This window comes from Homo sapiens, chromosome 2 (genome assembly GCF_000001405.40).
Source record: "Homo sapiens chromosome 2, GRCh38.p14 Primary Assembly".
Taxonomy (NCBI): domain Eukaryota; kingdom Metazoa; phylum Chordata; class Mammalia; order Primates; family Hominidae; genus Homo; species Homo sapiens.
Genome location: NC_000002.12, coordinates 53,752,068 through 53,776,216, shown reverse-complemented (window position 1 = coordinate 53,776,216; position 24,149 = coordinate 53,752,068). Strand labels below are relative to the sequence as shown.

The 24,149-nt window shown below is 40.3% G+C and overlaps 3 protein-coding genes across 6 annotated transcripts in view, besides 2 other annotated features; 2 read left to right on the top strand and 1 right to left on the bottom strand.

Annotated features, from left to right (window-relative positions):
* ASB3 (ankyrin repeat and SOCS box containing 3) overlaps positions 1 to 24,149 on the top strand; it is a 116,974-nt gene that overhangs the window by 10,737 nt on the left and 82,088 nt on the right. Inside the window, exon 2 of one of the 3 annotated variants that reach the window (NM_016115.5) lies at positions 10,632 to 10,840. The exons of the other annotated variants lie outside the window; for them this stretch is intronic. Coding sequence (NP_057199.1) covers positions 10,645 to 10,840 — 196 coding nt within the window. The 5' untranslated portion in view covers positions 10,632 to 10,644. The remainder of the gene's footprint in view (positions 1 to 10,631; positions 10,841 to 24,149) is intronic. 3 annotated transcript variants of the gene reach the window in all.
* GPR75-ASB3 (GPR75-ASB3 readthrough) overlaps positions 1 to 24,149 on the top strand; it is a 189,675-nt gene that overhangs the window by 83,751 nt on the left and 81,775 nt on the right. Inside the window, exon 2 of the mRNA NM_001164165.2 lies at positions 10,632 to 10,840. Coding sequence (NP_001157637.1) covers positions 10,632 to 10,840 — 209 coding nt within the window. The remainder of the gene's footprint in view (positions 1 to 10,631; positions 10,841 to 24,149) is intronic.
* CHAC2 (ChaC glutathione specific gamma-glutamylcyclotransferase 2) lies at positions 1,021 to 8,434 on the bottom strand. 2 transcript variants are annotated; one of them, NM_001346127.1, is made up of 3 exons: positions 8,196 to 8,434; positions 4,270 to 4,310; positions 1,021 to 2,075 (listed from the first exon to the last, which is right to left on the bottom strand). In NM_001346127.1, the coding sequence occupies exons 2-3, from the start codon at positions 4,270 to 4,272 to the stop codon at positions 1,692 to 1,694; spliced, it is 387 nt and encodes a 128-aa protein (NP_001333056.1). In that variant the 5' UTR covers positions 4,273 to 4,310; positions 8,196 to 8,434; the 3' UTR covers positions 1,021 to 1,691. The 2 variants fall into 2 exon arrangements, with proteins under 2 accessions (NP_001333056.1, NP_001008708.1); NM_001008708.4 differs by having other exon boundaries at positions 4,275 to 4,310; positions 8,196 to 8,413.
* Positions 7,882 to 8,071: an enhancer, noted in NCBI's record as "active region_15754". NCBI's record gives its function as "activates an Ori minimal core promoter by ATAC-STARR-seq in GM12878 lymphoblastoid cells {active_cell/tissue: GM12878}" and the evidence as "EXISTENCE:reporter gene assay evidence [ECO:0000049][PMID:35858748]".
* Positions 8,092 to 8,441: an enhancer, noted in NCBI's record as "active region_15753". NCBI's record gives its function as "activates an Ori minimal core promoter by ATAC-STARR-seq in GM12878 lymphoblastoid cells {active_cell/tissue: GM12878}" and the evidence as "EXISTENCE:reporter gene assay evidence [ECO:0000049][PMID:35858748]".

Sequence of the window (24,149 nt, the reverse complement as noted above, 5' to 3'; positions counted from 1 at the left end):
CTGAGTAAATTACTAAGATGTTAATAAATAGGAAAACATGAAAAGGACATGTAGGACAGCTTTATGTGAAAAACTTCTGTACTAATTATTAGTCATGCCTGAGTTTAAGGAGCTTTTAGTAAGTATATTGTGTTTAGTTTTATACTGAAGTTCTTATGGTGAAAGATTCTAGAGAGATTATATGTCCTCTTGAGAAAGAAATAACCTATAATCAGGAATAACCTGAATGGTTTGAATCAAAGTTAATTCTATGTGAGTTAATAACTTGTTTCCTAGTTGAGTAGCAGCATACACCCAATTGATACTCTTCTTTAGGTGACAAAATAAAGAAAAAAGTTACGTACAAATAATCAGGTAATGCCACTTCTTAAAAAAATACAATCTATGCAGGTAACAAAATGGCACTTGTAGCCCATAAATTTGTACAAATAAAAAATTATAGGCCGGGCATGGTGGCTCACACCTGTAATCCTAGCACTTTGGGAGGCTGAGGCTGGTGGATCACCTGAGGTCAGGAGATCGAGACCAGCTTGGCCAACATGGTGAAACCCCGTCTCTACTAAAAATACAAAAATTAGCCGGGCGTGGTGGCACATGCCTGTAATCCCAGCTACGCGGGAGGCTGAGGCAGGAGAATTCCTTGAACCTGGGAGGTGAAGGCTGCAGTGAGCTGAGGTTGGCACCACTGCACTCCAGCCTAGGCAACAGAGCGATACTCCGTCTCAAAAAACAAAACAAAATTATAATTCCAGGAGGTGCCTGTTCTTGGCTTCTGCCAGAGGTTACACTTTCCAGCCTGTGGGATGGCCAGACGCAGGCTGCAAAGAAAAAAAAAATTTTATATGTATATATATGTATATACACACACACACACACAAATTGAGATAGTGACAGACAAAGAATTCCAAAAGCTGTTTTAAAAACTAAATTTTCATTATATGTGCCATTAATTTGTAGTATCAGCCCATCTTTTTCAGTTTTGGTATAAGATTAATACAAAGTGAATGACAGACTACATCATTAGTGATCATGATTTGTATAATGTAATTTATGCTTTAGTGAGTTATTTTCCATATAGTAAAATGCCTTTATTTAAAAAAGAAGAGGTACAGTACATTATAATTCCAAGGAAATTTTCGTATTTTAAAAATGCCAATTTTTGGCTAAAAACTCAAAAGATTTCATTTAATACTTGAATAACAAGGAAATTCACAATTAAGGCTGAAATACTGTTCATATTATTGTGTATTTCTAAGCATGTTATTTTAAGCTTGTGTATTTTAAACCATGGTTACAGAATTGTATAGGAATATATTGAAGGCATAACCTTATATTTATTGGAATTTTGGTTTAATTGTTTAGAATTTCAAAATAGTATTGGGATGTGAAACAGGATGATTATCACTCTGATAAAAACAAGACTGAACTGAGTCCTTCACTGTATTTTTCTAAAGAACTCACTTCTAGTGAGTAAGTGTTCAATAACATAAAGTTAGGAAATCTTTATGTTATTAAAATTTGAATTTTTCTTTCACTGTATCCCAATATTTTAAATATGTGTTTCAGGACATTTCCAGTTAAAATAAAAGTTTAAATAATATCCTCACTACATTAAAAATAAGATCTTTAAGTAAACGTATTTCCAAATCATATTGTCATTGTGCACTGAAGTTAATTCTCTGAAGACTAAATTATATGCAATTGAGGTTCTGTTTCCCTTCTAAACGTTCCTTTACTAATTTTTCCAAAGCGAAAAGATGCTCATCTGCTTCTTCTGGCACAAGGTTCCTAATAGAATTTGCAAGTTCAAAAAGATATTCTGTATTTCTTCCACTTGGACCAGCTGCATTAAAAATTTGTTCAGCAATGTCTTCCAGAGGTGCAGGACCAAGATAATCAGGATTATCACATGTTCCAATATATAGCAATACACTGAATGGTTTTGTTGTGGGATCTTTTGGATAAAAAATGACTGTTGTGGTTCTGTAGCCTCCTTTTTCTCTGAAGTCAAGGTATGCTTTTACTTCTTCTTCCTTTCCTACTGGCAATCTGTAAGCAACACCCCATACACATCCCTGTTGAAAAATGAAAAGAATACACTGGTATTATAAGGCTAATTAAAATAGGTGAAGAAAGGTTGTGATCTAAGGGAGTATCTCATATATTCTTTTCTGTTTGTTTTTGAGATGAAGTCTTGTCTGTTGCCCAGGCTGTGGTGCAGTGGCACGATCGTGGCCTACTGCAACCTCAGCCTCCCGGGTTCAAGCTATTCTCCTGCCTCAGCCTCTCAAGTGACTGGGATTACAGGAATGCACCACCATGCCCAGCTAATTTTTGTATTTTTAGTAGAGAAGGGGTTTTGTCACGTTGGCCAGGCTGGTCTCAAACTCCTGACCTCAAGTGATCCACCTGCCTCGGCCTCCCAGTGTGCTGGGATTACAGGTGTGAACCACCATGCCTGCCTGTATCTTGTATATTTTTAAAAGTGGGCCAGGAGCGGTGGCTCACGCCTGTAATACCAGCACTTTGGGAGGCCGAGGTGAGTGGATCACGAGGTCAGGAGTGGAAGACCAGCCTGGCCAAGATGGTGAAACCCCGTCTTTACTAAAAATACAAAAATTAGTCAGGCACAGTGGCAGGCACTTGTAATCCCAGCTACTCAGGAGGCTGAGGCAGGAGCATTGCTTGAACCCGGGTGGCAGAGGTGGCAGTGAGCCGAGATCATGCCACTGAACTCAAGCCTGGGTTATAGAGTGAGACTGTCTCAAAAAAATAAAAAATAAATAAAAGTCAATACAGTTTTTCTTCACTTAAAGTGCACAGAAGAACATACTAAACAATAAAGGAAATAAGCACTTTAAAATCTCCATTGTGAATAATTTCTTTGTATCATAGGCACAGCAAGATATTTTATCTTAAAAAAATTTTTTTTTAATTTGGTCTTTTTCTTTAATAACGGGACTGAAATGAAAAATATGAGCCTTTCACTTGGTCATTAAAAAATTCTAGAAACAAAGTGCCATTTGTTTATTAACTGTTTAATTAGGAGTTATAAGTTACCAATTTGAAGATCTTTTTTATAAATGCTTTTCGTAGTATCAATTATGAAAGCATTTCCTAATCCACACCATTATTTATCTGCCATTACTAACTGCTTGATTTTTGTTTATTAAAGTCCTTTCCAAAGTTAAACATTTAATTTCACAATATAAAATTCTGAATCTGTACCCCAATAAAATGACTGAAAATATTTAAGAAACTGAGGATTGTTGGTTAAATAAAACTTTCTGGTGCTCCAAACCAGTTTTAAAATCACAGGTTCTACTGGGGTCTACGGGAGGGTGGAGGGTGGGAGGAGGGAGAGGATCTAGAAAAATAACTAATTGATACTAGGCTTAATGTTAATACCTGGGTGATGAAATAATCTGTACAACAAACCCCCATGACACATGTTTACCTATGTAACAAACTTGCACATCCTGCACATGTACTCCTGAACTTAAAAACAAAAACACAAAACACAACACACAGGTGCTATTGATACAATTAAGCAATAAAGAAAATAAGAATTCCTCACTTAGATTTCTGCTGAAAATGAGACTGGTAGCAAAAGTGAAGAGAGCTTTTAAGGGTTCCATTTAATTCTCGGTGGTAGTCTGGCTGTCGGGGGCAGGTATTTCCGTTAATGTCAAAGGGGACCACAAAATTCTTAGTTAATAAACTTGTTTTTAAAAAAATCCCACGGCTGGGCGCGGTGGCTCATGCCTGTAATCCCAGCACTTTGGGAGGCCAAGGCGGGCGGATCACGAGGTCGGGAGATTGAGACCATCCTGGCTAACACGGTGAAACCTCGTCTCTACTAAAAATACAAAAAATTAGCCAGACATGGTGGCGGGCGCCTGTAGTCCCAGCTACTTGGGAGGCTGAGGCAGGAGAATGGCGTGAACCCGGGAGGCGGAGCTTGCAGTGAGCCGAGATCGCGCCACTGCACTCCAGCCTGGGCGACAGAGCTAGACTCTGTCTCAAAAAACCCCACAAAAACGAAAACTACATGCTATTTGTCTGTACGTTGTTGTCTACCTTGCACTCTGCATTCTAACTTTTCTTATTGGCCTCAGTTTTCACAAACACAAAAAAAACCCACAAATACAGAGAAGAATTCTAAATTTAGGGTAGTTCAAATTGTCTGTGATGATTGTTAATCAAATTGAAACAGAAACATCGCAACATTTTATAAAATTAAAATTATACAAAAAAGAATATTTATACCATACCGCAGGATCTTCAACAAGAGTCACAACTCTTCCAGGCTGTTTTAAAAAGGTAAAAAAAAATTTTTCTGAATTAATAAAGTTCATTAAGTAGCTGAGCATTAGCAACATTTTTGACATGGAATATTTGAATTATATTTGCTCATAAGAAGCACTATTTCTTAAGCATAGTTATTTTTTATGATAAAGCTTAAGTGAATTAAGAGAACCTACCTTATCTAGAGACTGTGTTGGCCTTTCTAAAAGATTTCCATCAATTTATACGTATTAGGTATATTATATTCACTTTACATGGATATATTGGAAAACATACCAGTAACTAAAGGTCATCTAAAATGAAAGGCAAATGGAAGCAGTAATTATAAATATTCTGGTTTTTCCCTTAAGGAAAAAAGAATGTTATAGTTTTATTTATTTATTTATTTATTTTTTGAGACGGAGTTTTGCTCAACAAGCCCAGGCTGGAGTGCAGTGGTGCGATCTTGGCTCACTGCAACCTCCAACTCTCGGGCTCAAGCAATTCTCTCACCTCAGCCTCCTGAGTAGTTGGGATTACAGGTGCCCGCCAAGACACCCAGCTAATTTTTGTATTTTTAGTAGAGACGGGTTTACCATGTTGGCCAGGCTGGTATGGAACTCCTGACCTTAGGTAATCCACCCGTCTCGGCCTCCCAAAGTGCTGGGATTACAGGCGTGAGCCACCGCACCCGGCCTATAGTTTTATTAGGGGAAAAAAAATATGACATAAAGGGTGCTTTCCTATATATAGGGAAGTGACTTTCAAATTTAGTGGATCAAAATGACCTAGAGGGCTTGACAAAGACATTGTTAGGCCACACCTCCAGAGTTTTTGATTCTGTAGGTCTGGAGCTGTCTAAGAATTTGCATTTGTAACAACTTTCCTGCTGATTTCAGAAATTGTTCTGGGGCTCATACTTTAAGAACCACTGCTACCAGGGGATATTAAGAGGTTTTAAGTGAGAGAGAATGAGTGATTTACACTTCTGAGTTATGAAGTGTTCTTACCTTTCTGTATATGGTAATGGTGCTTCAAGGTAGGCATTTCTTTTACATTCATAAATGAACTTTACTTTGCCCTATTTAAAGGTCAGTATTAGAACTGGCCTATTCGTGTAGTTCTTATATGGGACAATCAGACCACTTGTGTTCTAGGCAATTTTATTTTCCCATTTTGGTTTTAACACAGGTCAGTTAACAATATTATGGAAAGCTTCACTTTTTACTATTCAACTTGAGGTTGAAATGATATATTATGAAGCCAAAACAAGTTTTATTTGTTCTCCCATTTCAAAGACTGATAAAACAGTCTTTGCTTATAAATGGAAAGCCTTAGAGAAAGTCCAGACTTGGAATGTTCCATAATTTAAGGCACAAAGGTGACACCTATCAGTGCCTGCAAGCTTTTTTTTTTTTTTTTTTTTTTTTTAAATAAACTTCGTCCACGGAGTACCAAAGGCTGTATGTGTACTGATACCTTAACATCATTCATGGGAATGCTGAGTCATAAGCCACAATTTTACCTACTTGTATGCCCAATGTCTGGCACATAGCGAGCCTAAATCATCCAGGCATTTGTGTCATCTTTGTTGCTATTTCCTTTTAGTCTTCATCTGTTCGTATAGATAATTTGTAATCATGGAACACATGGGATTTTGGATTATGATTTCTCATTTAATTTTCCTGTTAGTCTTCTCATACATTTTAATAGTTGCATAATATTGTGTCATTGATGAACTATAAACGTTCCTGTGTTCTTGGACATTTAGATTTCTGACTTGTTTTCTTTTTAAGATGATGCTACAATGAGGATATATATATATTGGTGAGGGTCAAGTAGATAATGCCATATTATTTTCAATTTCAAAGTGAATTAGAAGTTATTTATGCATAGCTACTGTGTGCTGTGGAGAAGATGAAATCTTGATTCTTGGTTCCAGTAGCTTATATTGTCATTCTAGAATGCAAACTAACATGTGAAATAAATAGAGCTAAGATATGGGCTAAGATGTATGGTATTAAGTGCAGTTAGAATTCTGAGTCTTAGGTGATCAGAAAGACACCTTTTTTTAGCTCTTTTTTTTTGAGACGGAATTTCACTCTTGTTGCTCAGGCTGGAGTGCAGTGGCGCAATCTCAGCTCACCGCAACGTCTGCCTCCCAAGCGATTCTCCTGCCTCAGCCTCCAGAGTAGCTGGGACTCTACTGGCGTGCGCCACCACGCCCAGCTAATTTTGTATTTTTAGTAGACAGGGGGTTTCTCCATGTTGGTCAGGCTGGTGTTGAACTCCCGACCTCAGGTGATCCACCCGCCTAGGCCTCCTAAAGTGCTGGGATTATAGGCGGGAACCACCACGCCTGGCCAGCCCCTTTCTCCTTTTAAAGAATCACGGACTGTTGTGTTGACTAGGCAATTTCTAATCATCAGTCTATTCTGACAGCATACATATCTCAATGTGTTTTGTAACACACTGTACATTTTCGTCAAGACTAGTAAAGTATGTTGTTATAGCCACATACATAAATATTTAATACTTGGTCATTATAATTGGAGCCTGGGCTAAAGGTTTTCTTTTCGGAATGGCAATTTTAAATATTCATATCAAAACTGACAACTCTCAAACTCCTGGCCTCAAGCAGTCCTCCTGGCTCAAACTTCCGAAGTGTTGGGATCAGAGGCGTGAGCTACCGGGCCCAGCCAAAACTGACAACTCAGAAGCCATTTAATTTAGCTTAGTTCTTTAATGTCTTGAATATTGTTCTAGAACATTCTTGGAGATACTTTGGCCATGACATTTCTGTTGATCTGTAAATGTGCATTTATCCTAAGCCATTGCCCCTTTTCAGGTCACTGTGTCCAACATCCCAATAGGCCAGTATAGTCTACTTAAAAGCCAAGTTCTTAACTGACCAACTCTAGTTGAGATAGAATGGTTTCTAATTCAGGTTCTTTTCGTGATTTTAATCCCATGTCTCTCTTATGAGCAGGTGCAAACTACTTTAGCGCCTTGATCTTTTCCACTTTCCATTGACCAATTTCCAAATTATTAGTTACCTCAATCTTAGTTTTCTTTATGGATTAGTTGTTTTGTAGCCAGTACAAAGCTGATTTGCATAAGCAGTGAGCTGCTGCTAATTCTCTATACATATATTGAGATTAATGTCTTTGTAGGACTGACTGAAAAGTGAATCAATGAACTTACATTTCATATTATAATTATGAGAACCATCAAGAAAGTAACATTAAAATAATGCTGGATATAGTAATGAGTTTGGTACTATGTTATTCATATAACCAGAACTTCATTTAACTTCACTAGTACTGAAAACCAAAGTGAGTTCCTTAATAACCAGCGAAAATTTTGGAAACTCATTCTGCAATCCTGTGTGTCAGAAAATAAAACTTTTGAAAGATGTAAAGAAATCCTAGAAGTAACATGCACGTTTAATCGCAAGCTCATGAAAGTCGGCTAGAATGCAGAAATGCCAACAAATTTAATTGCTAAAAAGCTGAATTTGCAACTTGATTTACTATTTCAACTCTGTGGTGACATGAGCATTCATCTTCCCGCCAATGGGACTTTTTTTCTTTTGGCAGAGGTTGCAGAGAGATGGAGTCCCCATCTCCGCACTCAGCCTGGTGCGAGCTCGTGCGCCTGTGCCCGCGCTTCTCGCCGTCTCTAGAGACTAACCACCGGCATCTTAAGCAGCTTCGGAAGGAGTGCCCGGGCTGGGTTAGAGATGGCGGGCAGGTGGCAGGGAAAATCTACAGAAATGTTACCCCAAGCCATGTGCTTTGGCCCCATGAAGCGCTAAGGTGTGGTTCTCTAGGGTGTGGGTGCTGTGTGTGGAGTTGGGGAGCAGGGGTCAGGGGGCAGTAAGTGTGGGGAGCTGACCGGCGCCTCACCTTGCCGGGGACCCCGCGGTGGTCCGTGCTGCCCTGCCAGAAGCGCCTGCTGTAGTTGGTGATGTATCCGACCAGCTTGTCCTGATAGGGGAAATCCACCTTCCAGATCAGGGACCCGTAACCAAAAACCCACATCTTCTCGCGGCTCCTCTGCCCCAGTGGCCGTGAACCCTAGCTGTCGCCGCGCCGCCGGGGACTGAAGCCTCCGGTAAGCGAGTAACCGGCCGCGCGGGGCGCAGGCGCGATGGCCACTTGGGGCGCAAAGCGCACTGGGAGTTTAGATCCAGAAAGATTTTCCGAGCGGATCTCAGTCAGCTTTATTTTATTTCCTTGATTAGGGTGTCAAGAGGCATTGACCTTCGGTGTAGTAAGCAATGGATTCTTTTGCAGCATCCGTAAATCACCCTAACCTACCTTTAGTGCCCGTGTGCAGAAAACTACAATACCCACAATGCTTTTTGGAGCTATTTGGCTCTGAAATTGGAACTGGGCTTATTTCTAACGGGGCCGAGGAAGGAGAAAAGAGCAGGAGTCGTCACTCGTGTCCAGATACGGAGGCGGTGTACCAGCACCGCAGGTAGCAAAGCACCTAGAAACACGTTTTGTTCTGCTTTGGAAATTAGATTTTTGCCTATATAACAGCAGCCAGAGGAATGTAATTCATATTTGATTTTATGTCCTGAAAAAAAAGTCTTTTGCCTTTCAAATAAAAGCAGAAAGTTTACAATAGAAGTTTACGCTTGTGAAAGAGTAGCTGTCATTTCAATGGGAATTGTTTATATATTTAAATTTTACACAAATTTATTCATCTTTAGTATTATCATTGGCTTGTTCACAAAAGAGCAGGCAAATGTTCTTAACTTGGGGCCCCTGTAAAGGCTTTGGAAACGAGCTGGGGAACCTGAATTTGTATACAAAATTTGGGGTGTACACTTTTCTAGGGGGAAACTACAGCTTTCATGAGTTTCTCCAAGGGGTCAAGGATCCTAAAATTTTTTGAAGATCTGCTCATTAGAGCTCTTGCTGCAAAATATTGTTTAGGAAATTCGCTTGGACTATCATGGCTGTGTCTCTGTGTGTGAAAACAGAAACCTTACCAAGTGATTGTTCTTTCTTGAAGATTTTTATACCATGATCTTGAATGCTAAAACACTCAGATTCAAGGGGTATTATTTGTTTTCTTATAAAGAAATCAGCAGGAAGCTGCTACCAGACAAACAAACAAAAAAAAAAGCAAGTCTTTTCCTATTTTCTCTAAGTTGTGGTTTCAAATTGCCTGATATGGTTGCTAACCCTTCTTTTTTGAAAAATTTTGAATACACAGAAAACTCAGATAAAAAGAGTGTAATGACCAATACCTTTCATCTAGATCCAGTAATTACCATTTTGCACAGTTGCTGTACTTCCTTTTTACTTTATTTATACTTTTAAATGGAGAACATTTGAAGTTGCTTGTGTTATGACATTTTACTGCCACATACTCTACATGTGTCTCATAAGAATAAGGACATTCATCCTAGAACAAGTTCCCTAAAAAAAAAGAATAAGGGCATTCTCCTAATAACTGTGATGCCATTATCACATCTGAGAAAATTAACAATAGTTATGTAATCAAATAAGTATTCCATATCCAAACTGCTTCATAGAGTCACTAACAAGAAATTGTGTCTTCGAGAGAGTCACATGAGAGCTATACTGGACTCTGACTGGAGGGGAACTTGAAGTGAGCATTGGAGGGAGGTGATGATGTGGGCAAGAACTCTGTTAAGAACTTTCTGGGCTATGTAGGAAAACCGGGCTCATCTCTTCATGGTGTTCTCTGTTGGTTTCAGTATGCTCAGTCAGTGGGTCTATTTGGTCAAGCATAGAGAATCTGAGTGTTTAACCTCTTCTGGAAAGGACAAGCAGGTGCAGGAAGACTAGAATGACACCTATCTTTCACTGCTTTTCTGGCCTCTTTGGGTTTAGTTGTTTCCTATAGAGGGCTGTATATTGAGGCTGAGCATTGCTGGTAGTTGAATGGCCATCTCTGCATAATGTAGTGTACACTGGGGATTAAGCAGAGGTGCTCTTATCAATGGAGCACCAAAGAGGGTGCTCTTATCAATGGAGCACCAAAGAATGCGTTGTGGTGGGGTATGAACAGGAGCAGAAGCCTACTCCTCAAACATTTCCAGAGGAGGAAAGATAGAACACTTAAAAGTCCCTTCATGTTTTTAGTGGGAACCTTCCAAGGAATTCCAATCTGCCAAACAGAGAAACTTCCTGCTTTAGGCACCAGCAGAGACTGTGGCATGGCAGTCACTTTCTGTATTGTGGGCCCTTCTTCGTCAGTCATGTGAGAGATACTAGACAGGCCCACCGTGATTTGCTGACCTCTAGGAGTGAAGTGTTGTTTTATTGACTATAGTATTATCCTTCTACCTTGTTTTGTAGACTGGTCAAACAAATGGATTTTACAGAGGCTTACGCGGACACGTGCTCTACAGTTGGACTTGCTGCCAGGGAAGGCAATGTTAAAGTCTTAAGGAAACTGCTCAAAAAGGGCCGAAGTGTCGATGTTGCTGATAACAGGGGATGGATGCCAATTCATGAAGCAGCTTATCACAACTCTGTAGAATGTTTGCAAATGTTAATTAATGCAGGTAAAGTAAATTCAAGGTATGGAGGCTTTGCCTACAAGCTGGATTAATAAAACATAAAAAAGTATAATACATAACTTATTAACAGTAGTATTTGTTTCCCTTTCTATAGTCATAAAATAACTGCCTGAATTTATTTATTAAGGATAGTAAGATTGCCTGCCTTGGATTCAATTAGTATGATACTCTAGTTGGACATCTTATACGGAAGTGCCTCTGTCTGGCCTCTTTTTATTGACTGAGCTAGGTGATATGGGAGAAGTAGTCTGCTGTTTGAATTTAAGCATTTGGTAGTTACTGGTCATGTTTATTCTTTCTTCCTTTACCAAACAGAAAGAGCAATTGTACTGAAATTGAGGATGTGTTTTGATTGAATTAGTCTTTTTCTTTTTAAACACTTTTTAATACTTTTGGGAATTTTTACAACTACTTAGCATGAAACAAGATGCCTGCCTTCCTGATGCTTTTTCTTGTCAGAGGAAACAGATGACAAATATCTAAATAATTAAACAAGATAATTTAAAAAGGTAAAAGTGTTATGAAGAAAATAAAACAAAGTAGAGATAATAAAACAGATGGGATAGACAAAAATGGTGTGCTACTGCACATCTCTTTACATCTCTGCATTCAGTGACTTCATGCTTGGGATCGGCCATGGTAGGAGTATTTACACCACAGAAACAAGCCAGTGCTACAAACCAGTGCTATAAACTGGGCTTTCTTCCCTCTGGACAGCTAGTTATTAAATGTTAACCAGCACACTACTGAGTGAAGGTCATTGACTAAAGGCGAGATTCTGACATTTAGTATAGAGGGGGTAGGAAGAAAACAAATGGTGACTGAGCATTGCTTTGTGATAGTCATTGTGCCACATGCTCAATTTATCTTCTTTATCTAATATTTATAAAAATGGTGTTAGAGGCAGTATTATCCTCATTTTATTGGTGAAAAGACCAAGGCTCAGAGAAGTTGACTTGTAAAAGGTTACATAATAAACTAGGGTATTTGATTTGAACCCATTTCTCTGACTCTAAAGCCCTTTTTTTTCCTCTCATACCAAGCTTCTAACATTTAATTGAATGAATTTATAGCATTCAGTTAAAATGAGGTTGACTATAATACTCTGCATTGTAACACTCAGAACCAATTTCATTTCATTGATCGTGGAAATTCAGACCCTCTTTCCTGCATACTTGTCATCACCAGGTATAGGTCCTTAAAATATAAACTTCTGGGTCCATAGCCCATCAGAACTACTAATTTGTTACCTGCTGGACGGGAAAGGAAATAATCTTTACATTGTTTTTGGTAGTGGTAGGTGTTTTTTTTGTTGTTGTTGTTTTGTTTTTTTCTTTTTTTTGTCTTAACAGGTAAGAGATGGTAAGGCTAAACTTCCTAAATCATAATGCAGGAAATTTGTCATGATTGTTTTTAAAATCACATGTTCAAGTGTCTAGTGTCTATTATAGTTGAGTGTTTGAAGATAGTGGAAAAATAGATGTTATTCCTCTAATTTCAAACGCTTAAGATATGTTTTCAGAATCTGTTTGAAGTTAACTATAAAGCTTGAGTTCCCAAACTATTTTTAGTAACAAAGACATGAGTTTGAATATCCTTTTCTAGGCAAAAAGCTCATTTCCAATATACTGTTACATCTCTTCTTCATATCGGAATAGTGTAGTTTATGTTACAGATTTTTTTCATCTGCTGAGTAAACTTGGGCATGCTTTTGACTAAAGGCATTTGAACTGGCTGTTAAATTCATCTCTACAGTTGTCCTGCCATATCCACAGGGAATTGGTCCCAAAATGTCCACGGACACCAAAATTCATGGATGCTCCTCAAGTTCGGCAGTCTGCCCTGAAGATAGGAAAACGTCCTATACACACATACAAAAGGTCAGCCGTCTGTATCTGTGGGTTCCACATCCTACAAATGCTATTATCTTCCATCCCAGTTGGTTGAATCTGCAGGTGCAAAACCCGTGGATACAGAAGCCCGACTGTATTTCCTTTTTTTCTGAGACAGAGTCTTGCTCTGTTGCCCAGGTGGGAGTGCAGTGGTGCGACCTCAGCTCACCACCACCTCCACCTCCCAGATTCAAGCGGTTCTCCTGCCTCAGTCTCCCAAGTAGCTGGGACTACAGGTGCACACCACCAATGCCTGGCTAACTGTCTCACTTTGTTGCCGAGGCTGGTCTCAAACCCTTGGCTCAAGTGATCCTCCTGCCTTGGCTTCCCAAAGTGCTGGGATTACAGGTGTGATGCATCACACCTGCTGTCTTTTATTATATAATTTTCCTACCTCCCTGAGGTTTATCTAATATTAATACACTGTCAGAGATTCCTAAAAGATAATTAGTGCACCCAAATAAGAAGGTATGTAGGCCTACACAAATAAAATGGAAATATCTAAAATGATTAGAAGAGTTTTGCTTCACTGTCTCTTCAATTTAGATTTGGAATCCATTCTGAGTACCATACATGGTCTTCTGACTCAAGTTGGAGAAGAGCATTCAAGTGTGGTGTAGATTACATAGAAGTTTAATATGCATACATATTTTTGTATTTCTTATGTATCTCATTTTAGTTTTCTGTTTAACATATTAGCACAGATAACAAATTTGCTTGTCTTCTCTCCTGTATTGGAGGTTGGGTGTAATGGGTGTTGAGATTTTATGAAGCTTGTCATCCTGGAGGGCAGTAATGATCTTCACTGACAATTAATGCCATTCAATAATAAGTCATTTGCTGACTAAAAGTCCCTTAAAAATCTTATAATTATTAAGCATATAGCTAAAAAATACTTTTATTTGGCTAATAAATGATCTAGCTCATAGTATTTTTTATTAGTTCATGTTAAATAAGAAAATACGCACTAATACTGGGCACAGTAACAGATGCAGAAGTTCCTTAGACAAATAAATCATTGTAGCACAGCGATTAAGAGTTACGGTCAGATGGACCTGAATTCTAGTGACTCTACCATTTTATTGGTGTGACTTTGGACAGGTTTTTTAACCTCTAAGTGGTTTAGTTTTTTCATCTGTTAGATAGAAATATTCCATTGTTCCAGCTCAGGCCAGAAACTCTGGGCCATCATTAATTCCTTTCTTTTTCTCATATTTCTCATCTAGTCAGTCAGCAAATTTGTGTATGTGTATGTCTATATTTGTGTGTATGTATACACACACACACACACACACACAGTTAGATCACTTCTCACTACCATTAATACCTTGTCTGCGTTGCTATAATAGCATCTTAACAGATCTTCTCTATCTGCCATTGCTCCTTCTGCATCCTATGACAGACCACCCTCAATATATTAGAGGGATCATTTTAAAATGCAACAGACCAAGTCACTCTTCTGCTCTCTTGAGTGAAAACACTTTTGTGTAGTATTTCATGGTAGAGATGTAATGTAATTTATGTAACCATTCTTCTATTGATAGATATTTTGTTTGTTTCCTAAAGTTTTGCTGTTATAACTAGTGATTCAGTGAACATCCTTATGTATATATCTTTGTCTACATGGTTAACCATTTCTGTAGGATGGAGTTTTAGAAGTGCAATTACTGTTTGATAAGTTAGAGTTTCCTGGAGAAATAGAACCAATAGAATATATATAGATAGACAAGAGGGGATTTACTATGGGAATTGGCTAATGTAATTATGGGAGCTGAGAAGTCCCATCATATGCTCTCTGTAAGATGGAGAACCAGGAAAGCTGGTGGTGTAACTCACCCTAAGTCTGAAGGCCTGAGAACCAGGGGAAGTGATAGTGTAACTCTCAGTCTGAGGCCAAAGGACTGAGAACTGGGGTGTGGGAGGCCACTGGTATGAGTCCTGGAGTTTGAAGGCCTGAGGATCAGGATCTCCAGTATCCAAGGGCAGGAGAAGATGCATGTCCTAGTTCAAGAGAGAATGAATTCTCCTTCTGCCTTTTTTTTTTCATTTGCAGGATTAATAGAGTGAAAACAGAGCCCCCATACAACGGGAGGGGACCCAAAGGGGGTTGCTGCTCCCTGCTCGAATGCCTGAGTTTATATCCTGATCATTGTCCCTCCCTCTGTGCTCTCAGGCGATATATGATTTGACTATTTCTTTACCTCATGCTGTAGCCTAATTTGTATTTTAGTGAGCCCTCTTTACTACCTGATTGGTCAGGTGTGAGCTGAGTTACAAGCCCGGTGTTTAAAGGTAGGTGCGGTCACCTTTCCCAGCTAGGCTTAGGAATTCTTAGTCTGCCTAGGAAATCCAGCTAGTCCTGTCTCTCAGTCCCCCCTCTCAACAGTAAAACCCAAGTGCTGTTGGGGAGGTTGGCCGACGACTGCTCTTAAGTGCTTCCTGCTGTATTGGGGCATAGTAGGGGTCGTGCAGTTTAGATTTCATCAGGAGGAGTGCCTTCAATGTCATTAACATCGGAGCATGGGCTAGCAGGCTGTTCCAGGGGTCCACGGTAGATCTTAGTCATGGACTGCATCTGGGGTTCTATTTGAAGAACAATTTGTAATTTTACAGCTTTGATTCTGGAAGAGACAAACTTAACAAGGAGGTTAAAGATACAGGGATTGAAATGTAGGCCTGAAGTGCCAGGGATTATTTCTTCGGCACACTTCACAGATCCTGACTATCTGCTTGATAGTTTTGAAAAGGCCTGGTCTAGTAAATAATGATTTGGCCATCTGATGGGTGCTATCAATGCCTAAGTGAAAGGTCTAGTGAAGGGTTTTAAGTAATTTCCATTGGTTAGCTGCAGGCAAAAGTATTTTTCCTTCTTCAGTGGCTAGCCATCCTGAGGGGAAGAAGCTATGTACTCTTGAGGTTCCCCATTCTATTTCTTCTGCTGAGTACTGGGCCTTGGTTTCCTGGAGGGGATTACCCCATACTAGGGGTCCTTCTGTAAGCATTTCTAATGGAGGGTCCTACCTTGCAACTCTTTTGGCTTCAATATCTGCTTGGCGGTTCCCTTCTACTTCTTTTCTTTTCTTTCTGGTGACCCTGGCAGTGTAAAACTGCCACCTCTTTAGGTTTCTGTAGAGCCAAAAATAATCTCCTAATGTCTTCCTGATGTTTGATAGGTATTCCCTCGGAAGTTAGGAATTCCCTTTCTCTCCATATTGTTGCATGGGCATGGAGAGTTAGGTAAGCATACTTAGAGTCTTTATATATATTTACCCTTTTTCCTTCTCCTAATTCTAGTGTATAACGGCCCCTGCTTTTCCTAGGATGTCTCTCCCTAACAAAGGAGTGGGGCTTTCAGGCATAATTAGAAAGACATGTGAAAAGAGTAAAGTTCGCCAGTCACAACTTAGTGGCTGGGAGAAGTATATAGTGACTGCCTGTCCTAGGATCCCCTCAGATAGTGACAGATCTGGAGGACAGTTGTCCAGGACAGGAGAGTAAGACTGAGACAGCTGCGCCAGTGTCCAGGAGACAGTTAACCTCCTGGCCCTCAATGATCAAGCATACCCGGGGCTCTGTGAGGGTGATGGCGTGGGCTGGTGCTTGCCCCGGACACCCTCAGTCCTGCTGCTGTATCATCTGGTTAGTGGCTTCTGACTCAGAGGACCTTCGTCCCCTGGGGCAGTGGGCCTTCCAATGATTCCCTTGACATAAGGGGCATGGACGAGGGGGAGGCTTATTTCTATTCGGACAATCTTTTTTAAAGTGTCCTTGTAAACCATACTGGAAGCAATCCCTGTTAGGCATTCGATTTGCCCAGCCTTTCCCTGTTCCAGAGCCTTCAAAGTCCATTTGCCTGAAGACCATGACTAAAGTGGTGGCCTTTTTCTTATCCCGTTTATCCCGTTCTGCCTGCTCCTCCTGATCTTTATTATAAAAAACTGAGGTTGCCAAGTTCAGTAGGGTTTCTAAGTTTTGCTCCGGGCCTAAGGCGGACTTTTGAAGTTTTGTTCTAATGTCTGCAGCTGACTGAGTGATAAACTTATCCTTTAAGATTAGTTGGCCCTCAATAGAGTCATGCGACAGAGAGGTATGCTTTCTCAAAGCCTCCCTTAGTGTCTCCAGAAAGGCGGTAGGATTTTTCTTCCTTTTCCTGTGTTATAGTGGACATCATTGAATAATTCATAGTCTTCCTCCTAGTTTTCCTTAGCCTTCTTGCACGCAAGTTAGCAAATGTCTGCGGCACCAATCTCCATGTTCTGATTTTGCGTCCCAGTGAGGGTCTACACTGGGAACTGCCTCCTGGCCTGTGGAGAATTGTTCTCTTTCTTCTGTTGTCATCCTATCATTGACCTGACTGAGATACCAGAGATTGCCAAACTCTCTGGCTGCAGTTATGGTGGCACTTCTCTCTTTTGTGGTTAGCGTCTGATCTAGCAGCAACATTATATCTGTCTATGTCCGATAAAAGCATTGTTCTAACCCTTGTAAAACATCAATATAGCCATCAGGGTTATCTGATAATTTACCTAGGTCTATTTTAATTTGCTTCAAGTCTGACAGGGAAAAAGGTACATACACTCTGGGCCGAATTCTCCAGAATATATCTTAGGGGCGTTTTTGCCTTGTGGGGAACATGTCCCATCTGAAAAAAGAACATAGGGATGCCAGCACCTCTAGTCATTTTCCAATGAGCATTATCCCAGAGGACTAGAGCGTCCTCTGTGGTCCTAGTGCTTATTCCTTTCCAGGGTGTACAACTACCCATGGACCTCTGCTTATCGGATTAGTTACACTCACCAATGTAGCAGTCCTGCACCCCTTTTCCCACCTTTCTTGACCACAAAGAAAGGGGTCCGGGCTGCTGGATTCTAGTGGTCCTTTACCAGCATGCCCAATATTGCCTTTGCGCTCAAGGGTGAGTTCTAGAGCTGGGCTGGGTTCCTGAGTATTTTATAACAACCCAGCTGCCCCATCAAGATGCGTTCCCATAAACAACAGTTCTTATGCAAATTCTTTTCAGAGAGGGTGTAGGTAACCTTTTGAGTTAGGATTGAGGTAGAGTTTTTGCCCACTAGGGCCTTTGTCCTTTTCCCTTGTAGGAATACGCCCTAATTATCAATCTTAAACTTTTTGTTGCCCCGGATTAAGTCCTTGCCGGTATGAAATTTGAGAGATGGATCCTGTTTATCCCATGTGCCTTTTTCCGTGGGTTACTGGGTTAAGGATTTTTGATAGGAAGGCTATGTGTTGTCAGTGGTCTCAGTGTTTTCAGGCTACGCCCTTGTTTACACTGACAACAAGGTAGTATTGGAGTGTTATAGGGTCACAGAGAAGACCTTCAGTTATCAATTATAGGTTTTAAATTTACCCTGGCTTTTAAAGGAATAGGGTGCACTGTTTTTTCTTTACTACTTCTATCTCTCTTTTTCTCTCTCTCCCTCTCTTTTCTCTCTCTCTCTGTCTCTTCTCTCCTTGAGTTACTTAATTCGCTTTCATCCTGATCTATTATGTTGTCATAGACCCAGTTCCAGTTGTTAAAGTACTGGGTCATGAGTTTCAAGGCCCTGGCCAAGGAGCCAAGGCTTGGAGATTGTATTGCAGAGGGATAAGCTGGGTAAAAATCAGGGGAGGAGAGCATCTTACATGATGAGAGAGCAATCCTCCTAGCCATTTACAAACTTGGGGCCCTGGCAAGGGTGGTGGGGAATGGGTCCCACATAACTGCCCATGTTGAGAGCTGTATATCTAAACTGGGACACCAGGGACAAGATTCCCTGGGTTCATAGCCTAGGTACCTAAGGACACAGCATAGAACTTCCTTAGATCCCTTTGGAGATACAACTTGCTCTAATACTTGGGAGAGGAAATGAAGTCTGAACCATTAGTACCTAGGAGGCAGGGATCGGAGGAAGTAGATTCAGAAGTAAGGAGAATTTTGGGCTACACTTTCAAGAAAGTCATGGTCGGGACCCAGGAGGTATGGGTCAGAAGGAAAGGTAGGGGTGCATGCACGGGCGACTGTTGAGTAGAGACTTCGGCTGCGCCATGATCTCAACCAGCTAACGCCGGGAGTTCGGGACGACAGCTTTCTGCCTCTAGTCGGCCCTCGGCCTCCCCAGGAAAATTGAAAGCAGAAGCTGGTTCCAGGCAGACCAACGCTCCCAACCCAGAAGGGTTGGACGTTGTTAGAAAGCCCTTTCCCAGATAGCCTCACACCTGAGTCTTAAGTCTGGCAGCCACACTAATTATTTTTAACTGGCTGACAGGTGCCCGGTATTTTCCTCCAATTCTAAGGAAGGATAGGACAGAATAGCAAGTGAAAGTGGTCCAATATTACTCACCGCTTTTGAGGTCCCTTTGTGGTCACCAAAATGTTACTGGGGGGTCCTTGTTCTTAGAGCTCCTAAGATGGTGGTAGGCTGCTTCCAAGATGGTGGCAAGCCTCTTGTTCTCTGACCTCGGGTTCTTGACCTCACGGATTCCAAGGAATGGAATCTTGGGTCATGCGGTGAGTGTTACAGCTCTGTTCAGCTCGATTAGGATGAACCCCAGGCACTTAGCCTGTGCAGGAACAATGGTGAGCCTCTAGCCCGACTGGGAGTGGCAATGGGCGCCGCCTCGCTGGATCAGAAGTGCAGTGGACACCCTGCCAGATCGGAGGGGTAGAAGTCAACAGCGGGTCTGCGACGACGGTGATCAGCAGTGGTGGACGGTGAGTGAAAGCTCAGTTTGAACTGGAACAAACACGGACCAGAGAGTGTGCAGTTGCAAGATTTAATAGAGTGAAAACAGAGCTCCCATACAATGGGAGGGGACCCAAAGGGGGTTCCCTGCCTTTTTTTTCTTTTAGGTCCTTGAAGGATTACATGATGCCTGCCCACATTGGTGAGGGCAAGTCTTGTTTATTCAGTCTGCTGATTCAAATGGTAATGTCTTCCTGAAACATCTTCATGGATATACCCAGAAATGTTTTAGCAGCTATCTGGGCATCCCTTAACCCAGTCAAGTTGACATGTAAAATTAACCATCACCATGCCAAGTTAAAATATTTATAGATACTGCTAAATTGTATGCTATGTTAATCAGGATTCTTTCAGTACTGAGTGAAAGAAACCTAGTTCAAACTAGCTTAAGCAAAGAAAGGGAATATAGTAGCTCAAGTAAATGTAAATCTGAGTGATGGGTCTCTTCAGAGACTGCTGGATTCTACTATTAGAATGATGTCGTTAGACAGGCAGGATTTCCCTTTGGAAGTTCTAGACTTACCTTATTTTTATTTTTTTAATTAAAAAAATTTTTTTAAAGAGATGGGGTCTTACTCTGTTGCTCAAGCTGGAGTACAGTGGTGTGATCATGGCTCATTGCAGCCTCCAACTCTTGGGCTCAAGTGATCCTCCCATCTCAGTCTCTGGAATAACTGGGACCGCAGACATATGCCATCACATCAGGCTAATTTTTTTATTTTCTATATTTTGTAGAGGTGGGGGGGGGGTCTTACTATTTTGTCCAGGTTGGTCTCAAAACTCCTGGCCTCAAGTGATACTCCTTCCTTGGCCTCCCAAAGTGCTGGGATTACAGGCATGAGCCACTGCATTAGGCCTTGCCTTATCTTTAAAGAGCTCTTTATGTATTCTGGATATTAATCCTTCGGTGTTATATGTGTTTCGGGTATTTTCTCGTCACTTTTCTTAACAGTGTCTACTTTCTTTGTAATGCCTTTCAACCTCTTCCTCTTCACTGACTTCTTCCATGCATCTTGTGTGCATTATGAAGTCTCTGCTGAGGGTTGTCTGAGAAGTTTGCACATAATACAATTCCTTGCATTGTGGAAATTATTTTATATATAACCTTTTCTTATAATACCTAAATAAAACATAGTAAGATGATATAAATTGTGTAAATGGTGTGGCGATATAATCTTGACATTTATTACACTTGTGATTGGCACATAGTAAATTTGTCATCAAATTCTGGCTCAGCTGTTGAGAAATATTCTGGTCTTAATACTTAACCTATCTCCTCTACTGAAAACCTTGTGGTTTGACTTTCCCTGTTAGAGTTTGCAGAAAACAAAAAGAACGGTCTATCACCCATTACTACCACTTTTATAAGAAGTAATAGACAAGTTTATTATTCATAAGTAAAAAGACACTTTGTGTCAGTAAACATAGGGTGTGGTTCCATTGGCAGTGTTTGGGCCAACTCTTGTCATTGCTACACAGGCGTCAGTGGCTGGCATTGGTTCAGCTGAGGTGGCTCTAATTCTCCAAGTATTCCCAGGAAATAACTCACAAGTTGTGAAAGACCTGAAGTGCTCATTGTGTTTGTCCATTAAGAATGTCTTTAATACCCACACCATTTAAAGTTTCAATAAGTTGAGAAGGAGAAGCCACTTTGCCTTCCTTTGAGGGTAAGGAGAGATTAAAGCATTAAAAACAGTGAATAGGATGAGCCATTTCTTTTTCAAGAAGCACCCCTGTAGAGAAGGGAAGAGAGTGAGAAGGTGGTGGTTGATGGTCCAGTACAAGGTAGATAAGATCCCTTTGCTAAAACTCATGTATCAGTTTAAGGAAAGCAGTTTATCTTTGGAACTTTCAAAACTAATTTATAGTGGGTGGTGAAAATTTTCTTAAAATGATACTTTGGAGACTTTACCAAATGTGTAACAACTTTGACAGTACTTAAATTGCATATCTATCTGCATTTGTATTTTACAAAAATTCAGACTATATACCTAATTCTATTGAACCCTATTGAGAGTTGGTCCAGCTAATTTATCCTCGTTTCACTGTTATGGAACCTGAGCCTCAGAGAGGTTTAAGTAATTGGCCCGAAGTATAACCCATATTATTTCTAGCAGAGTCAAAGTTGCAGCCTCAATCCAACTTCAAATGTTATCTTCCTGGTCCAGTGATTTTAAAGTTAGCTTAATATATTTTTTTCTATAGGTAAAATATTTCAAGATCTCAAGTTAGTAGTAAATTGACTTCAGTATTTCTCACCTGTGTGAGAAGTGCCTTTTATTTTCTTTACTTCATATATAATCACACAGGAGATTTTATTTCCTTTTCCCAAGATGAGTGTGTATGCAAGTCACTAAGGGTGGCTTGCACTCCAGAAGTGGGAATTAAACTCTACTTCCTTGATGGAGTAGTCTTTACATAAATTATTTGGAATTCTTCTACATGGGAGATTTATCTCTTCTCTCCCGTTAATTTATATATTTAGTCATTTATATCTGCATGAACTCATTGTTACTTATTTTATACCTGTACTTTAGGTTACAATCCAATACAATGTAATTTATTTTGTTGCTCATATTGTTTTGGTCATAGGATGCCCTTTCAGAGTGGCTCCTATTGTCTCTTTTGCATGCCCCCATTGTTTGTTTTTTGAGCACGTTTTACTTTTTGGACCTACAGTGTGCTCCGACTCTTTGTATGTTTCCCACCTCAGCCTTAGAATCAGCCATTTTCATAAGAGTGCTGGTTTCTTTTACGGGAGAATGATAGTGAAAACCAAGATGTAAGGCCAGGCATGGTGGCTCACGCCTGTAATCTCAGCACTTTGGGAGGCCAAGTCGGGCAGATCACCTGAGGCCAGGAGTTTGAGACCAGCCTGGCCAACATGGCAAAAACATGTCTCTACTAAAAAAAAAATACAAAAAATTACCCAGGTGTGGTGGTGCGCCTATAATCCCAGCTACTCGGGAGGCTGAAGCAGGAGAATCGCTTGAACCTGGGAGGTGGAGGTTGCAGTGAGCTGAGATCACGCCACTGCACTCCATCCTGGGCAACACTGTCTCAAAAAAAAAAAACAGAAAGAAAGAGAGAAAACCAAGATCTGAGGACTGGGTGTGCTTGTTGCTACTGGACTGTCATTGATTTTAAGCCCTTTCAGCAGACAGATCTAGAACATATATTTATATATTATAACCCATGTATATATACATCTATAGTTGTTTCCGTGTCTAGCCATCTGTATCTATATTAAGCTAAACATGAATTCATACTGATGTCTGGACTCTACTCCAGAACACATGGTTCATTCTAGCCTTCCCTCTTTCCTTATATGTAACCTTCCTCTCCAACAGTAAGAAACCTGGCCCCCAGATCTGCCATCTGTTTATTTATTTGTTTGTTCTTAGTATTCATGTAGAGTGGTTTCAGAATTGTTAATCTCTACTCCTAGAAACAACTTTACCAACTAGACTATAGTGTTTATGTGCAGTTCTTTTTGTCTTTAGTCTTACAGTTTTCAGTCATAGCATCATTTATCAAAGTTATGTAGACCAGTGTCTTTTTTCTCTATCTCTCAGTGTGGTTATGACATATATTTGTAATTCAATTAGATTCTTTTGTCACAGTCTGCATGCTATCCTAGGATCACCCTTCCTTTTACCTCCTGGTTGATTTTTTTTTTTTAAATTGCGTACATTAAGGTTCACTCTTTCTGCTGTAAGGCATAATATTTAAATGGTCAGGATTAAACTTTATGTCTTTTTTTTCTTTTTAAGTGGAGGAGAACATCTTTTCTACTTTACAAGAGAAAGTTCCTTGGCTTCTGTAATGTAACATCGGTCTAGGTCTCTGACCTTTTAGTGACCATCTTTCTTAGTCTCTTACTGCTTCTGTTGATTCCTTTCCCTGATGGGTACCTTCCTTTCTGCATTTGTACCAGGAGCACATTACTTCACTTTTTCTAACTTTAAGACATGGTTTAATATATAGTAAGTCTAGGCACGCTTCAATGCTTGTGTTGTTCATTTTTCTAAATTATTTGTTACTCTTACCTGCCCTACTGATAGAGAGAGGAGACAGCCAAATGCTGCCCAGGTCATTGTGCACAGGGGGCTTGCCTAAACATGCCCATGGGGGCGAAAAATTCCGTGCCTTAACACGTGCACAGAAAGGGAAATAAATCAATGTGGAGTGGCTCAGAATAAGGGGCTGCCTGTGCACTGGAAGAATGGGGTGAAGCCACTGGGAATTCTCACCTTATGCAGTGGGGAGGAGCCTGGCCTCTTCAGCTCATGTGTGGTGGTCTGGTATTCAATCTGTGGGGTGGGAACCTGTTGGCAGGACCCCCTTTTTTAGCTGGGAGCTTTCCTTTAATAAATTCTGCTCTCCTCACCTTTCAATGTGTCCACATGCCTAATTTGTCCTGGTGGTGACACAAGAACCCGGATTTTAGCTGAACTAAGGAGCAAAAAATCCTGCATCACTACCCTAGACTTATCAACTTGAGTTACTTTATCAAGTATAAAACAAGCAAATAGCTCTACTGGCATTTTTATTAGAAGTGTATTAAGTTTATTAATTATTTTGGGAAGAATCAGCATCTTTATAATATTGAAATTTTCCATTTAGGAGCCAATCTACTGATGTCTATTATCTATATAT

Coding starts and splice junctions, on each gene's coding strand:
- CHAC2 (NM_001008708.4), bottom strand. CDS start 8,330: ATGTGGGTTTTTGGTTACGGGTCCCTGATCTGGAAGGTGGATTTCCCC. Junction 4,311..8,195: donor ACCGCGGGGTCCCCGGCAAG/GTGAGGCGCCGG, acceptor TTTTTAAAACAG/CCTGGAAGAGTTGTGACTCT. Junction 2,076..4,274: donor CTCTTGTTGAAGATCCTGCG/GTATGGTATAAA, acceptor ATTTTTCAACAG/GGATGTGTATGGGGTGTTGC.